The sequence below is a fragment of the Homo sapiens genome, chromosome 4, assembly GCF_000001405.40.
Source record: "Homo sapiens chromosome 4, GRCh38.p14 Primary Assembly".
In the NCBI taxonomy this organism is placed as follows: domain Eukaryota; kingdom Metazoa; phylum Chordata; class Mammalia; order Primates; family Hominidae; genus Homo; species Homo sapiens.
The window spans coordinates 4,177,273-4,194,458 of NC_000004.12; the positions used below are offsets into that span (position 1 = coordinate 4,177,273).

General features: G+C 45.2%; 1 protein-coding gene across 1 annotated transcript in view; it reads right to left on the minus strand.

Annotated features, from left to right (window-relative positions):
* Positions 1–11,453: 11,453 nt before the first annotated feature.
* OTOP1 (otopetrin 1) overlaps positions 11,454–17,186 on the minus strand; it is a 38,204-nt gene continuing 32,471 nt past the window's right edge. Inside the window, exon 6 of the mRNA NM_177998.3 lies at positions 11,454–11,701. Within this exon, the coding sequence (NP_819056.1) occupies positions 11,531–11,701 (171 nt within the window). The 3' untranslated portion in view covers positions 11,454–11,530. The remainder of the gene's footprint in view (positions 11,702–17,186) is intronic.

Consider the following 17,186-nt stretch of genomic DNA (forward strand, 5'->3'; position numbering starts at 1 on the left):
GGACTGGCCAAATGCCATGTGTCTGGCCTTAGACTGCCTGGTTCAAGTTGGACTTCACCCTTTTTGACTTCAAGATCTGGTGCAAGTTCTATGAAAATGCGTTGCTCCTTTTCTTGTCTGTAAAATCATCATGAAATGTGCACTCATAACTGGGAGACTACGCAGATGAAATGAAACAAGCTGCATAGAGCACAGAGCTCAGAGCCTGTCCTTTAGGAAGCCCTCAGTTAAGGGTTCATGATGCCATGGTGTCTGTCATGATCCTCTATCCTCATCATCACCTTCATCATCTTTTTGTTGTTCTGAGGGAACAGTTTAGAGGGACTCATTCCCTGCTATCATGGGTGAGATGTCTATGAAAAGGACAACCAGTGGGAGAGGAAAGCAAAATTTTAAAGAAGATTTCTGAGAGAGACCCCCCACCACAACCAAGAACAGAATCTCCACACTCTGCTGAGCTAACAGTTTGCACATTGGTCTCCTCCCATCTGCCCACCACACTCTCCTGTTTGTCCTGAGGAGGAGGAAACCAAACAAGGCTCCCGACCATCCCTCAGCACTCACTGAACCGCCCTTCCCCTCGGCTGGGCCATGACCACGGAGAACAGGTCCACTGTCCTCCCTGCGGGGTGCACGTTGGAGGCTCAGACTCCATCCTCAAGGCTGGCAAGAAGACAGGGTGAGACAGAAGCCTCCTGATACAGGTGATGGGTGTGGAGCCCACAGTACTGGAATCTCACACTGCAGGGCTGGAGGCACAGACTGACTATTTACTATTCTATGGCCTGGGGGGCTCAAGGCACAGAGCTCCTCATTAGCCAAAGTCACCCATGTTCCCCAAACTCTAAGGATTTCCTCAATATTGCATGAAGAACAAGAGAAAAGTGAGTGTCCATAGAAGCTTTGGGGTTCTTCCTCTCATCAGGAGAAAGTTTGTGTGGATTATTCGCTTCCTTCTTTTCTTTTTAAAGATCCAACTGCTTTCATTTTCAGCTTTTATGATGGGAAAATATACCACGTATAAATATTAAAAATTATAAATATATTTTATTTCATATAGAATGGCCAGTATCAACATTGACAATTTCCACTATTTCTCAGTTTACAGTTTAATCACATTAAGTACATTCACATTGTTTAGCAACCATCGCTGCCGTCATCTCCAGAACAGTTTTATCTTTCAAAATGGAAATTACGCCCATTAACCAAACTCTCCGTTCCTCTCTCTCGCCCACCCCTGGGGGCCACCATTCTATTTAGCAACTCTATGAGTTTAACTACTCTAGACCCTTGATATAAGTGGAATTATACTGTGTTTAATTTTTTTTGTTGCTGTTGTTTTGGAGACAGAGTCGTTCTCTGTCACCCAGGCTGGAGTGCAGTGGCCTGGTCTCGGCTCACTGCAACCTCCACATTGTGGGTTCAGGTGATTCTTGTGTCTCAGTCTCCCGAGTAGGTGGGATTACAGGCGTGTGCCACCACGCCTAGCTAATTTTTGTATTTTTAATAGAGATGAGCTTTCCCCATATTGGCCAGGCTGGTCGCGAAATCCTGACCTTAAGTGATCCGCCTGCCTCAGCCTCCCAAAGTGCTGGGGTTACAGGTGCAAGCCACTGAGCCTGGCTGTGTTTATCCTTTTGGGATTTATTTATTTCACTGACGATAATGTCTTCAAAGTTCATCCGTGTTGCAGCCTGTGTCAGAAGTGCCTGTCTGGTTTTTCGGGGGTTTTTTTGTTTGTTTGTTTGTTTGATTTTGTTTTGTTTTGTGCTTACATGGATTCTCACTCTGTCGCACAGGCTGGAGTGCAGTGGCACAATCTGGGCTCACTGCAACCTCCGCCTCCCGGGTTCAAGCGATTCTTGTGCCTCAGCCTCCCGAGTAGCAGGGACTATAGGCACACGCCACCACACTCGTCTAATTTTGTGCATTTTCAGTAGAGACAGGGTTTCACCAAGATGGCCAGGCTGGTCTTGAATTCCTGACCTCAGGTGATCCACCCACCTCGGTCTTCCAAGATGCTGGGATTCCAGGCGTGAGCCACCGCACCGGCCAGAAGTGCCTGCCTTTTGAAGGCCGAATAGTCTTCCACTGTATGAAGGAACTGCAGTGTGCTTTTTCATTCATCTGTCCACGAACCCTTGGGTTGCTTCCACATTTTGGCTGTCGTGAATAATGCTGCTATGAATATGGCTGTACAGATATCTCTTCCACTCCTGGCTTCTAATTCTTTTTGGTAGGTACCCACAAGTGCATCTGTGAGATCATCTGATAATTCTGTTTCTACTTTTTCCAGTACACGCCATACTCTTTTCCCTGTTCCTTCACGATTTTGCATTCCCTCCAGTCATATTCGAGCATTCCTACTTCCCTCTAGTTTCACCAATGCTTGTTTGTTTATCATATCCTTCCTAACTTGTGGTATCACATTCTTGGTTTGATTTGTGCTTCCCTATGATTAGTGATTTTGAACATCATTTTCGATGCTTATTGGCCATTGCTATATCTTCTTTAGGGACACGGCTACTCGAGTCTTCTGACCATGGTTAATGGGATGCTTTGGGTTTCTTGTTGTTTAGCTCTAGCTGTTCTTTACATAGGATGGATATCAGCCTCTTTCCAGATAGATGATTTGCAAATACTTTTCCTAATCCGTGGGTTATCTTTTCAATCAATTCACAGTGTTTTTTGATGCACAAAAGTTCCTGTCATTTAGATGTAATCCAAGGAATCTAATTTTCTCTTGTTGCCTATGCTTTTGGTGTCAGATCCCAGAAAGCATTGCCCAATCTGATGTCATGAAAGTGTGACCAATGTTTTCTTTTAGGCATAGTATACTTTTAGCGCTTGGGATTAGGTCTTTGATCCAGTTTGTGTTAATTTTTGCACCTGGTGTGACATAGGGTCCACCTTCATTCTTCTGCATGTGGAAATCAAGTTTCTCCAACACCATTTCTTGAAAAGGCTGCTTTTCCACCAATGAACTTTCTTAGCACTCAGGTTAAAAGTCATTTGAGCATATAGGTGAGAAGTTATTTCTGGGCTCCAAAACAAGCAAACAACGACAGATGACAGATAAGGATACAGCATGGGCCGGGCACGGTTGCTCATGCCTGTAATCCCAGCACTTTGGGAGGCCGAGGCGGGTGGATCACCTGAGGTCAGGAGTTCAAGACCAGCCTGACCAATAGGGTGAAACCCCCATCTCTACTAGAAATACAACATTAGCTGGGCGTGCTGGGGCATGCCTGTAATCCCAGCTGCTCGGGAGGTGCAGGCAGGAGAATCGCTTGAACCCAGGAGGCAGAGGTTGCGGTGAGCCAAGATTGCACCATTACACTCCAGCCTGGGCAACACGAGTGAAACTCCATCTCAAAAAAAAAAAAAAAAAAGAAAGAAAGCAGCACGATTTCAAGAACAGAAAGAGAATAGCTTACAAACCAGCATAATGAGAAAGTTAGGAAGCTTCTTACCAAAGCATCTGGAAATATGCAAGAAATTCTTGTGAACTAAAATTTTCATACTGTGCTATCAAACACTAGAACTCACTTATTCCATCTTTCTGTATTTTGGGACCCAATTATCCACTTCTCTTCCTTCCCCATCCCACCCGTTTTCTTCCTAGTGAAAAGCCTTTTCAAGTATAAAGGAAAACCACCTTTATACTTTCCGCCTTCTTGAGATTCCTTTTGTGTGTAGGTGTGTGATGGAGTCTCTTTCTGTTGCCCAGGTGGGAGTATACAGGCACAATCCGGGCTCAATGCAACTTCCACCTTCCGAGTTCAAGCACTTCTTGGGCCTCAGCCCTCTGAGTAGCTGAGACTACAGGCACCTGTCACCACGCCGGGTTAATTGTTTGTGTTTTCAGGAGAGACGGGGTTTCACCATGTTGGCCAGGTGGGTCTTGAACTCCTGGCCTCAAGTGATCCGTGTGACTCGGCCTCCCAAAGTGCTGGGATTACAGGCCTGAACCACCACACCTGGCCAAGATTTTCTTGTTTGTTCCTACATATAAGTGAGGACATGAAATATTTGTCATTCTGTGCCTGGCTTGTTTCACTTACAATACACACCTGCAATCTCATCCATTTTGTCTGCAGTGGAGAGGATTTTAATCGTTTTTAGGCTGAATAATACTTCATTGTGTGTGTATACCACAGTTTCTTAATTGAAACCAATTTCTAAAAAGCAAATATTTTTAAAATGTCCCGGAATGTGAAACTTCAGGGATACTGTGCCCATTTTATTCTTTTCTATTTCCCATTTTATGTATATGCAAGTGTAAAACAAAGCAGCAATCAATGTGTGTCTAAATGTATAACTTCGACAAACGTAAAATGAAAATGCTAAGTGGTGGCTGGGCGCGGTCTCTCACGCCTGTAATCCCACCACTTTGGGAGGTGGAAGTGGGCAGATCACCTGAGGTCGGGAGTTCAAGACCAGCCTGACCAATATGGAGAAACACTGTCTCTAGTAAAGATACAAAAAAAAAAAAAAAAATTAGCCGGGCGTGGTAGCCCATGCCTGTAATCCCAGCTACTTGGAAGGCTGACACAGGAGAATCGCTTGAATACGGGAGGCAGAGGTTGCAGTGAGCCGAGATCATGCCATTGCACTCCAGCCTGGGCAACAAGAGTGAAACTCTGCCTCAACACACACAAAAAGAAAAAAGAAAAGAAAAAGAAAAAAATAGGAAATGCTAAACGGTAAGAAAAAACAGCATAATAAACGTTTGTGTAGTGTTGATGGACAATGCATTTGAAAATCATATTTGAAGATATATTACTATTAACTTCTGTTCTTACTCATTGGAGCTTGATTCCTCTAAAAATTTCATCATTGGAACCACCTCTGGTGCTTAAAAACAAAAAACAAACAAAAAAAAAACCCACATACTCACACACGTGCAAGGAAATCAGAATTTCATGTAACGAGACCCAGGCCTCATCGTTTGTAAGCTCCGCAGGTGATTTCACTCAAAGCCAAGATTGAGGACGGGTGACGCGGATCTCTACACACAACCTGCCTAAACAGACTCTCTAGAAGCAGTTTATAAAGAAATTCCACGTGAACTCCGGGAGAGGATATGAATTTGATGTACAGTATGTCCTCACTTAACATCTTTGAAAGTCTCTTGGAAACTTGACCTTTCAGCAAAATTCTGTATACTGAAACGTTTTTAGCAGGTGACTTGATTTGATTTACATTTTTCAGACATGTAGCTTCACTATCATGGTTATGGTGGTCCGTGTGTTACTAACATTGCTGAAACCACCATGCCAGAATTACCCTCCCATTTGTGGGTTAAAACACTGTGCCCATCTCTCCCTCCCCAGAGTCCTCTTGGTGGCTACTCTTAGGAGGAACTAACATCGCCTACATTCCCCCATCACACCCAGCACAAGTGCCCTCCCAGCCAGCTTCCCCAGCCTCCCCCACCCAACTCAGTCCCACTCACACCCAGCATGCCAGGGACTCTCCCATCAGGGGAACACCCTGTAACCCCCAAGTTCCTCCAAAGCCTCTTGAGAGGGACCAGAGTGCCCTGCAGGGAGTGGGTCCTGGTGGGTCCGGTGGAGGGAACGTCCTTGCTGGAACTGGCTGGGTCTTAGCCGGGAAGTGGTGACAGGTATCTCTCACATACGCTACGGGAACCCAGCGCAGCCAATGGAGTCCAATCAGCACACCTTGCGCCCACCCATTCGTTTGGTACCTTGAGGCCACTGCCCACCCTCCAGGTACCCCGGTCTCAAGCTTGCCCTGAAGTTCAGGGAAAGGCGCTGGCGCCCCCTGCTGGTTGCGCTCTCCCATAGCAGGGCTCACATTTTTGGAGAAAGAAACCAGCTGTTAGCAGCTTTCACTCTTCACCATGTTAAGCAAAGTGCAGCATTTTATAACTGGATGAAAAGCCAGATATTCTGTCAGCTGACTAGATTGTTCTGTACGCATATCCCTGAGCTATTGTTTGAAGGATATTTTTACTGAGTTGACTTTCTTCATAAGATGATATGACTAATGAAAAGAAAAGGCAATGGAGTTTTTAAAACCGGCATGAGGAACCAAATGCTGCCACTGACTAGCTATGTACATGTGATCCAAAGGTTCCCTCTGTTCAAACAAAATAACAGTGCTTACCTAACCAGGTCATCTGTGAGCTGGGACTTCACAGGCAGGCGTGGAGGGAGATGGATGCGAGAAGGGCTTCGTTAGCTGAGAGGGTCGTGCAACTGGAAGGTAATAGCAAGCATTTTCCAGTTGGAACTTTTGGCCGACATTTGTGGTGGGGAGACAAACAGGTCTAATTTGCCTCCCGCGCATGGGCAGGTAGGAAGATGCTGGTGGGTTTGGTTCGACAGTCTTGTGGAAGGGGTGCTTTTTTAATGCACACTCAGGCACCATGGGAGCCTGTTGTCACCCTGGATATCTGGCTCCGTGCCCGTGCCCTTCCACCCTGCCTCGACAAGAGTCATGGCACCCAAAATAAATGAGTTCAAATCTGAGTTTCACAGGCTCAGGGAAGAACCCAAGCTACCAAATGCACAGGCCCCTCCTGTATACGGTTACAGCAGGTAAGGGAATAACTTACTCAGTGCAAGCTGCTACAATAAAACAGCACAAGCTGAGTGGCTAATCAACAACAGGCATTTATTTCTCACAGGTCTGGAGGCTGGAAGCCCAAGATCAGGGTGCCAGTGCTGGCATGGTCGGGTTCTGGTGAGGGCCCTCTTCCGGGTCACAGACAGCTGTCTTCTCATTGCATCCTCATATGACAGAAAAGAAGTGCACAAGCTCTCTGGCCCCCTCTTACAGGTGCTAATCCCATTCACAAGGGTCCTACCATCATGACCTCATTACCTCCCAAAGACCCCACCTCCAAATACCACCACATTGCCATTAAGCTTCAATATATGAATTTAAGGGGGAAACAAACATCCAGTCCATTGCAGGTTGTCCTGATAATATGTGTGCCCGGGGCATTGTCCCCACAGCAAATAGCGACATTGGAAGGCAAACCAATGTCAGGTTTCCTAATGTGCACAGAGGCGTCCGTGGAAGAGTGAGTCCGGTGATCTTACCAGCTAATTGCATTGAGCTACCCCACCTTGGGGATTTACCTGCCAAGGAGAACAGAACACCACTGGCTTTGACACCCATCTCTCAACAATGATGGATGAATGCTGGAAATTTACCTGCTTGGGTAGCTGTGTCTAAGTTCATCTTCCTTGTATGGACTTTCTTTTTTTCTTGCTCTCAAATACTTGTATTATGAAATATCTCATTTAAAGTTTCTTTAAAATACATTAAAAGTATATTTAAAGAGTACGTTTTAAGAGTGCAGAGAAAACATAATGAATACCTCTTTGCTTAAGAAAAAGTATTTCAGACACAGCATGAAATCAGTTGCTGGTTCCAAGCCCCTCCCCTTCTCACTACGCTGAACTTGGCGTGCATTCTTTCTTCAGGTGTGTTTGTAATCTTACTGCATATGGACATATCCCCCAGCAATATCAGGGATTGTTTTGCTTGTTCCTAGACATCATATTAATGGTATCATACCAATTATATGCCTGCGCTACTTAATGTTTCATTCAACATTGTTTTGGGGGACTATCCATGTTGATACCTGAATTCTCTTGTGTTCATTTTTTCCTTTTGTGAAATAGTCCATCATGGAAATAGTCCCTGGTGTGCCTATCTGCACTCCTAATTGACAGGCATTTAGGCTGTTTTCCATTTTCCTAATTACAAGTGATGCTGAGTGCACATTCCTGAACACAGGTGTGAGGCTGTCTCTGGAGCACATGCCAAGGAACAGAATTCTTAGCTCATAAGGAATGTGTACCTCCAGCCTTAGTCAATATTGCCAATTGCTGTCCAATCTGATTTTATTCATTTACGCTCCCACTAGCAGTATATATGGGTCTTTCTTTCACTTCTTGCCAACTCTTGCCAGTCTAATGAATGGGAAGTAGTAACTCATTATTATTTCAATTTGTATTCCGTGTATTAATCCCTGAGACCTTAACACTTGTGTATTGCACATTCTGGTTCCTCTTTGGCAAATTGCCTTGGCATTAAGATAGTAAATTTTCCTTGCCACCTAGGCTGGTTGAATCAGGATGCTTAATTACTTAGAGGTAAAAAGCACCTGGCTGAAATAGCCATCCCTGAGGCTGCCTGTTGAGGATAAGAGATGCTTCATCCATCTTTAGATCCTTTCTTGGAAACGCTGAGCGCAGCCAGCCATGCAGGCTTTTCCAAGCTCTGATGCTGCCATGTGTCCACAATAGCATCCCCACAACCTGGATCCATCATTCCCAGCATAATGATGGCTCCTTTTCTTCTCCTTGGCAGAGCCCAAAACCCAAAGCTGAGGCCTCAGGGCTGTTCTAATGTGCTTAGAATGGGGGTAAAGGTAATGCCAACCAAAATGAGGAAACCGGTATTCCCACTCAGTCACTGCTGAGTCAGCGTAAATCACTCCAGAGGACAGTTTGTCACTGACCTCAAAGACTCAATTACAAAGATGATCACCATAGCATTGTTTACAGTAGCACCAAAAAAAAGGAACCACCTAAATATCTCTAAATGTCCAACATCACGGTTTGAAAAAATAAGGAATGGTACATCCTTCCATGGAGTGTACTTTAAAGCCACCCAAAATCATACTGCACATGGATATACAATGTCAAGGAAACTTGCTCAGGAGTCCTAGCTTGTGGTCCATGGACTCCCAAGGAGATGCTTCTCAAAGGGAATTGGCATCCCCTGAGATACTCATGAAAGTGCAGACTTCCGGGCCCCCCTCCAGACTGAATCTGAACTTCCATATTGGAGGGCAGGAATCCTACCAAGTTCCCCAGATGAGTCTCAGGCACACTAAAGCCAGAGCGTCGATGCCTGGGACCCAAAACAGGGAAGAAGCACTCTGGTGTATCAAGAGGAAAAAAGCAAGTTACATACAAACGCAGTATATATAAAAACCACCCCCTTCATGTGGGTGTGGGTGTATGCATACTTTTGAAAAAAAAAAAAATTATCAGCTGGTTGCAGTGGCTCACGTCTGTAATCCCAGCACTTTGGGAGGCCAAGGTGGGTGGATCACCTGAGGTCAGGAGTTCGAGGCCAGCCTGGCCAACATGGTAAAACCCTGTCTGTACTAAAAATACAAAAATTAGCTGGGCGTGGTGGTAGGCATCTGTAATCCCAGTTACTTCGGAGGCTGAGGCAGGAGAGTCGCTTGAACCCAGGAGGCGGTGGTTACAGTGAACCAAGGTCATGCCATTGCACTCCAGCCTGGGCAACAAGAGTGAAAGTCCGTCTCAAAAAAATAAAAATAAATATATATATATAATTTTTTTTAATTTTTATTTTTTAGAGACAGGGTCCTGCTGTGTCACCCAAGCTAGAATGCAGTGGCACGATCTTGGCTCACTACCCAATCTCAAACTCCTGGGCTCAAGTGATCCTCTCCACTCAGCCTCATGAGTAGCTGGGACTACAGGCATACTCCACCGCAAATGGGTTTTTTGTTTTGTTTTGTTTTGTTTTTTGTACAGACAGGGTCTCACTATGTTTGTGTTCCCTGGCTGGTCTTAAACTCTTGGCCTCAAGCGATCCTTCCGCGTCAGCCTCCCAAAGTATTGGGATTACAGGTGTGAGCCACCACGCCCAGCCTGTGTGCATGTACTAATACTTAACAGCAGTTACCTCTAGATTACCTCAGCACCATTGACAATCAGCCCAAAGACTCTTTGTGGTGGGGCTGTCCTGTATGTTGTAGGGTGTTAGCCGTATCCATGGGTGCAGTAGTGTAACAATCAAAAATGTGTTTGGTAGCACGAAAGCGCAACTATAGTTAACAATAATTTATTGTATATTTTAGAGTAACAAACATAGTGAAATTACGTTGTTCCTAACACAAAAAAAGATATATACTTTAGGGTATGAATATCTCAGTCACCCTGATTTGATTATTACTTATTATATGTTTATATCAAAATATCACATGTACCCTGTAAGTATGTACAAATATTATGCATAATTTAGATTTATTTTAATTTTAATAAAAAATAAATATTAAAAAATGTCCTCAGATATTGCTAAATGTCCCCTCAAGGAACAAGGTCCCCAGGTGGAGAACCGATTCTCTAGATGGGACATGTATAGATGATGTTTTCCTTTGTTTTTTAGTATATATGCCTATTTTTTAGTTTTTTCTAAAATAAGTGTACTTTAGTCATATTAAAAAAAACTTTGTATTTATTACTGTCCCATTGCCTGCACTGTCTGAAAAAAATACACTCAAATGAAAACATATTCACTTTAATACTTACAGTAAGAAAATTAATTTTATTATTATTTTAAAATAGCTATGGAAAAACTATACAAAGTCCTCCCAAATGTCAATATTCCTTAGGCACCTTTGAAATATTTATAATCTTAATCTTTGGGCTAGGCATCCTAATTGTAATTTCATATCTTAAAGAAGCAATTCTAAATATAGGAAATGCTTCACAAATATGGTTGATTTTTCAGAGTTACTTATAAAAGCAAAAAGTTATAAACACTGTAAAACCAACCATAGGAAACTATGTTAATTAAGGTACATTCACTTGATAGACTATCATACAGCATTAAAATGATATTTATAAAGAATTTATAACAATATGGGGGCAAGGTTTATGCCATATTGTTAAGTGGGAAAATAACTGAATACAAAATCAAATATGTTACATCATCATTCAAAGGTATAATAATGACAATAAAAAGAATCTCATCAACATGGTTGGAAGAAATACACCAAGATATTAAAAGTAATTGTTAATTGAACAATGGCATCATAGGTGACTTTTTCTCTCTACTTTTCTGAAATATCCAAATTTTTTACAATAAACATGTAAGTGTTTACAGTGAAAGAGAGAATAGTGAAATTTCCTTTTAAAAATACTTGAAAATGATCACAAAAATGTGTCAACATTTCAGGTAAGAAATATGTTTTTATATTGGTCTGTACACAAATTTCTATCCAGATGATAAAAATAACTTCAAGAAATTAAACCTATTCAGAAACAATATAAACTCATTGTGATTGTGTCTAAATTCATAGGCTTTGAGAAGGATAAATTTTTAAAGTGTAAATTACTATGCAGGTGGTCAGGAAAAGGTTGTATGGAGTCACATGATAAATGACACAAAGAAAATGCTTTTTATGAAAAACAAACTGGATAGATTTTTTCCCAAGCCAGAATCACATTCTTCTAAATCATTTAGAAGGAAATAAAATAATTTGGGCTTGATTAGCATTTAACTAACCAAGGACAGATTCCAGCCACCTCATGGATTTTGATCTAACTTGTTTACATTCATCAGGGGTGATGGGCAGTTCCAGCCCACAGGAAGCACAATCTTTGCAGACAAAAGGTGGCCCTTCTCATATTTGTCAGGCAATATTTGCCCAACCTGGCCACTCCTAGTTGGCTCCAATGAACTCTTGTTAGCTCACTCCTAGGTCTCTTGTGGACCCAGACTATATCTTACAATAGACCTCAAAGAGGGAGGCAGCTGCGTGCATTCGATAGAAAATAGAAAAAGGCATGGCCAGGTTGACCACAATTATCCAGGGTTCAAAGCCAAAGACAATCTCCTCCAATCCATTGTCATACTCAGGTCGACAGCCAAAGGCGGGAGGTATCCAAAGCTGCAAGAGAAGAGAAAATGGCATGTGGTGGGGAGCAGCTTCCAAGCCACCACGGAGGCCCCACTCAAGTCCCAGGCCTCATGGGAGCTGAACCTAATGCACAGGGACTGAGTCACCCCTGACAGAACAATAAGGAGACCTCATGGCATTTCCCATCTCCACAGAAACCACCAAATCCATGTCTGCCATGATCCTGCTCACTTCCTCAACCACCCTTCCCTGCAATCCATCCTGAATGAGCACTTTCTGAACCCATCCAACTCTTTCCATCCCTACAGCCCTCGCCCAGCCTCGGTTTCCTCATTTGAAAGATGGGAATTCTAACACGTGTCTGAGAGGGCTTAGATGAGAATTAAGTTTGCAAAACTGAAAGCAATGACTTTTGTTTGTGTTGTTCACGGAACCTACACACTGTTCCCTGCTTCTCAGACTCTTTTGTGTCCCAGTTCTCTCCCCCTGTGCCACCTCTTGAGTTGTCAGGCTCCTCACTCCCGCTTCCGGCTGTAGCCTTCTTCAGCTTCCTCCACTCCCTGGCTGTGGCAGGCAGCCTCTAGGATGACCCTCACTGATCCCCAGCTCCTGCAGTCACCCCCTTGTGGAGTCCCCACCCCTTGAGTGTGGGATGCACCTAACGACTCACTTCCAACTCACAAAATTTGGCAAAAGACACAGGAAGTCACTTCTGAAATTAGGTTGCAAAAGGACCTGCTATCCCTCTTGCTCATCTTCTCCTGTAAGACAGGTGGCAGAGCTGCCATGCTGTGAAGCACCCTATGCGGCAAGGGGCCCAGGGAGTACTCCCGTCAACAGCCAGCAAGGAACTCAGACCCTCAGTCCAACAAGCCACAGCTGAATCCTGCCAACAGTCACATGAGTAGATTTGGAAACAAATCCTCTGCCACCTCTCGCAAAGTCAAGCCTTGAAATGAATGCAGCCCCAGCCAACAGTTTCAGCCTGGGAATGGCCCTGTGCAGAGACTCTCAGCTAAAACTGTAGTTGGATTCATAAGTCAGAGAAACTATGAAATCATAAATGTACTTTGTTTTAAGTTGCTGAGTATTGGGGTGGTCTCTTCCATAGCAATAAGTAACTGAGACACATAGCCTTCATTAGTATCCCATACAGAACACTCCCTGGTATATACAGCCGACCTCTGTATCCAGGGACCTGCGGCTGTGGATTGAACCAAGCACAGATCAAAAGTATTCAAAAAGTAGGCTGGGCACAGTGGCTCACACCTATAATCCCAGAACTTTGGGAGGCCAAGGCAGGTGGATCACCTGAGGTCAGGAGTTCAAGACCAGCCTGGCCAACATGGTGAAACCCCATCTCTACTAAAAATACAAAAAATTAGCCAGGTATGGCGGCATGTGCCTGTAATCCCAGCTACTCAGGGGGCTGAGGCAGGAGAATCCCTTGAACCCGGGAGGCGAAGCTTGCAGTAAGCCAAGATCATGCCACTGCACTCCAGCCTGGGCAAACAGTGAGGCTCTGTCTCAAAAAATAAAAATAAATAAATTCAAAAAATAAAATGGTTGGTTGTGTCTGTAGTGAATATGTACAAACTTTCTTCTTGTCATTATTCTCTAAACAATACAGTATAACAACTATTTACATAGCATTTAAATTGTATTAGGTATTCTAAGTAATCTAGAGATGTCTTAAAGTGTATGGGAGGATGGGTAGGTTACATGCAAATATTACCCCATTTTATATAGAGGACTTGAGCATCTGTGCATTTGGTATCCACCACGGGGACCCTGGAACCAAGACCCCTCTCTTTTACTTTGCTTACTGGCTGCTGTGACCCTTAGGGGCTCTCCTACCTGTTTGGCGGGTCCCTCCCAGTCTCCTTTGCCATTTCATCCTTTGCTGTGCCTCTTAATGTTGGCCAGCGTCCAGGGATCTTTCCTGGGTCCCTTTCTATTCTCTCTACACATGAGCCCTGGGGCTCTCTCCCAGTCCCTGGTTGTAAATGCCAGCTATAGGCCTATGACTTCCCAGTCTCAATCTCCAGCCTGGACCACATCCAAGAACCCCAGGCTCATAGTTTCCGGTGGCAACTTGAGTGTCTAAAACACACCTCAAACTCAACCCACCTTCCCCATTTCTCTATCTGCTCAGCTACGTCGTCCTCCCAGGTGGTCCATCGAGGCTCCAGGTGTCATCCTTATCTCCCTCCTACTCTCATAACCATGCCCCCTCCCATCCAGTCCATCAGCGCATCTCCACTCTGTGCCTCCAAAGCAGTATCTTCAGCCCACCTGTGGCTCTCTCTCTCCACCTGTCCATCCAGACTTTCTCACCTGGACCATGGCGGTGGCCCCCTGCCTGGTCTCCCAGCTCGCACTAGGGCTCTACTCGGCCACCAGATTTACATTTCATGGAAATCAGATCCTGTCCCTACCTTGATCAAACCCCCAAAGTCTTCCCAAAATATTTAAAGTAAAATCTACACTCCCGCATGGGGTGATAAAGCGCTCTGTTAGCTGATTTCTAACCACCCACGCTTCTCCCCACTCACCCCACCCACATGGCACGCAGCCCTTCTTCCTGTTTCTCAAACCAGAACCGCTCACTCCCACCGGGGGTTTTATACCAGCCATTGTTCCCTCTGCCCTGAACATGCGTGGCCAGCCCCTCCTTGTCTCACCTCACCCTTCAGCGAGGCCTTCTCACTAAGCTGGTCCCTCTGATCTACAATGGCTGCCCAAGAGCTATTTCCCACATCCTCCTTTTCCACTTCTCTGCTTAACACAGGTACACTATAAGGTGTCTTTCTTGCTCAGCTGATGGTTTTGCCTGCTGTTGCCTGGTTTGTAAGCCCCATAAGAGGAAGACCAGAGATCTTGGTCATTGCTGTACCCTCAACATGCATAGCAGTCCCTGAACCTCTGTAGGTACTCAAGGAACACCTTCTAAAAGAAGGGAGAGAGGAAGGGAGAGGGAGACAGGGAGGAAAAATGAGAAGAAAGGAAGGCAGGAAAATGGGACCTCTTTTCTGAAATCCACATCTTTATGTCTGCTGTTCAGTTGGCTATAAATTCTTGTTACTTATCCTATTGAGAAGTGGCCTATGAACTCTTTCCTTGAATCTAGATGGACTCTGTGACTACATGACTAATAAAATATGGCAGAAATGACACCATGCAGTTTCCAAGCCCAGGCCTTAGGAGACAGGCAGCTTCCAGTTCAATCTTTTGGAGGGTTGGCTCTGGGGCCCTGAACCACCAAGTACGGAGTCCGACCACCCTGAGACGTCATGCTGGAGACCCACCTGTGGGTGCCTCAGTCAAGAGTCCCGGCTGAGCCCAGCCTCCCAGCCACCCCCACCCAAGGCACCAGACCACGGAACTTCTGCCCAAGGCTTCACCAACTTCACCTGATGCTGTGAGGAACAGAACTGCCTATCCAAGCCCTGCCAGAATTTCTAACCCACAAAGCCATGAGTCACAATAAATCCCATGAGACAAAAACAGTCATGCATGTTGCTTTTGTCATACATTTGGGGTAGTTCATTGCATGGCAATAGAAAACCAAAATATCTGCCTACTGGGTTCATCCATTTGGATGCCACAGAGGCACCTGAAACAGAACACGTCCATTACTTAACTCTGGTCCTTCCTTCCACACTGACCTCCACCCACTGCTCCCAAGGTTGCCCCTCCTCCAGGGTCCTCCATCTCCAACATAGTATCACCATCTCCCCAGGAACTCAAGTGTGAAGGCAGGGGTCACACTTGGCACCTGTCACCCTTCGCGAGTTGCAACCTGGAGACCCTGGAGGGTGTTATGATGAGTGAAATAACCCAGTCACAAAAGGACTAATACTCCACAAATTCACTTATATGAGGAGTCTAGGAGTCAAATTCCTAGAGACTGAAAGAACGGTGGTTGTCAGGGGCTGGGGAGAATGGGGAGTTCATATTTAATGAGGGCAGGGTTTCAGTTTTGCCAGACGAGAATAACCTGGAAATGGATGGTGTGATGTTTGCACAATGTGAACGTACTTTACTTCACCACACACTTGAAAGTGGGTGCAATGGGAAAGTTTATGTGATGTGTTTTTTGCCACAATTAAAAATATAATAAAATAAGCATGTGTCAGATCCCGTCACTCTCAGTGTAGACCCTTCCATGGTTTTCTCTTGCGTTTAGGATAGAGTCTTGGCTCGCAGGCCCTGTGTGGTCTCCCCTCTGCCCTCTGCTCTGTGCTCCCAGGTCATATCCAGTGAGCCCTGCCTTGCCTTGCATCCATCCCTTCCCCACACCTGCAGCTCTGCCCTAATAGTCTCTCATCCCAGCCCCATCTACACCATTCCTTAGAAGAGGACTTCCCTGACCCATCTCCCACAGCACCCTGCCCTTCCCCATCACCACACCCACCGTCTGTTGTCTCCAGTGCCACAGCTCCTGGAAATTCAACTAACATTTCCATGTCCGTCTCTGAAGTGGAGCCCACCCCACCTGGACATGCACATCAGCACCTGCAGCTGGGGCCTCTGGACTGGCTCCCGATGCTGGAGAAGACAGCTCTTGCTCTCTGCCAGATGCCTTTGGCACCACCTGGGGTCAACCACAAGGTTTCAAAGTGCCACCCCATGAGCCAGCACGGGTATCCTAAGACTCCACCCTGCAATGATTTCCATCCTCTGCTTCAATCCCCCAGAACCCAACCAGTGCCTGGGGGCATCATAGACCAAGCACAGGGAGGAAGAGATGAAGCCCACCCTTCTCCTTGGACTGGGCCCTGGGTCTGGCTTTCGGGTCCTGACAGACCATCAGTTGCCACTTGATTCTGGTATTTCGGACAGTGCTATCTTTCTTCAAGTGGGTCCAAAAATTCAAGCCAAGTATTTCACCCAGTGGTCAACCAAAAAGGCAACCAGGGAAAAACAACTTTTCAGAACTTAGTTTTAAAAAATATATTAGGCCAGGAGCGGTGGCTCACACCCGTAATCCCAGCACTTTGGGAGGCCTAGGCAGGCAGCTCACCTGAGGTTAGGAGTTCGAGACCACCCTGACCAACCTAGTGAAACCCTGTCTCTACTAAAAATAGAAAAATTAGCTGGGCATGGTGGTTGCATGCCTGTAGTCCCACCTCCTCGGGATGCTGAGGCAGGAGAATCACTTGAACCTGGGAGGCGGAGGTTGCAATGAGCCAAGATCATGCCATTGCACTACAGCCTGGGCAACAGAGCAAGACTCCATCTCAAAATATATGTATATTAATATTAATCACAGGATATGTACAAAAAGCATATGCTTGAGGAAGATTCTAGAACTAGCTCTGACTATAAGAATTTGTGTTTTGGAACATGCACCTCAAAAAAATGCAGCCGAATAGTATCTATCTCTCTTGTTAACTCTTTCAATTCTTGGTTCACTGCTGTGCCCCTGACATAGCCCCTGGCATACAGCAGTTTCCTGGCAAATGTCTGTTAGATGGAGAAGAGGGTCTGCCTGCAGCCAAACTCTTCTGGG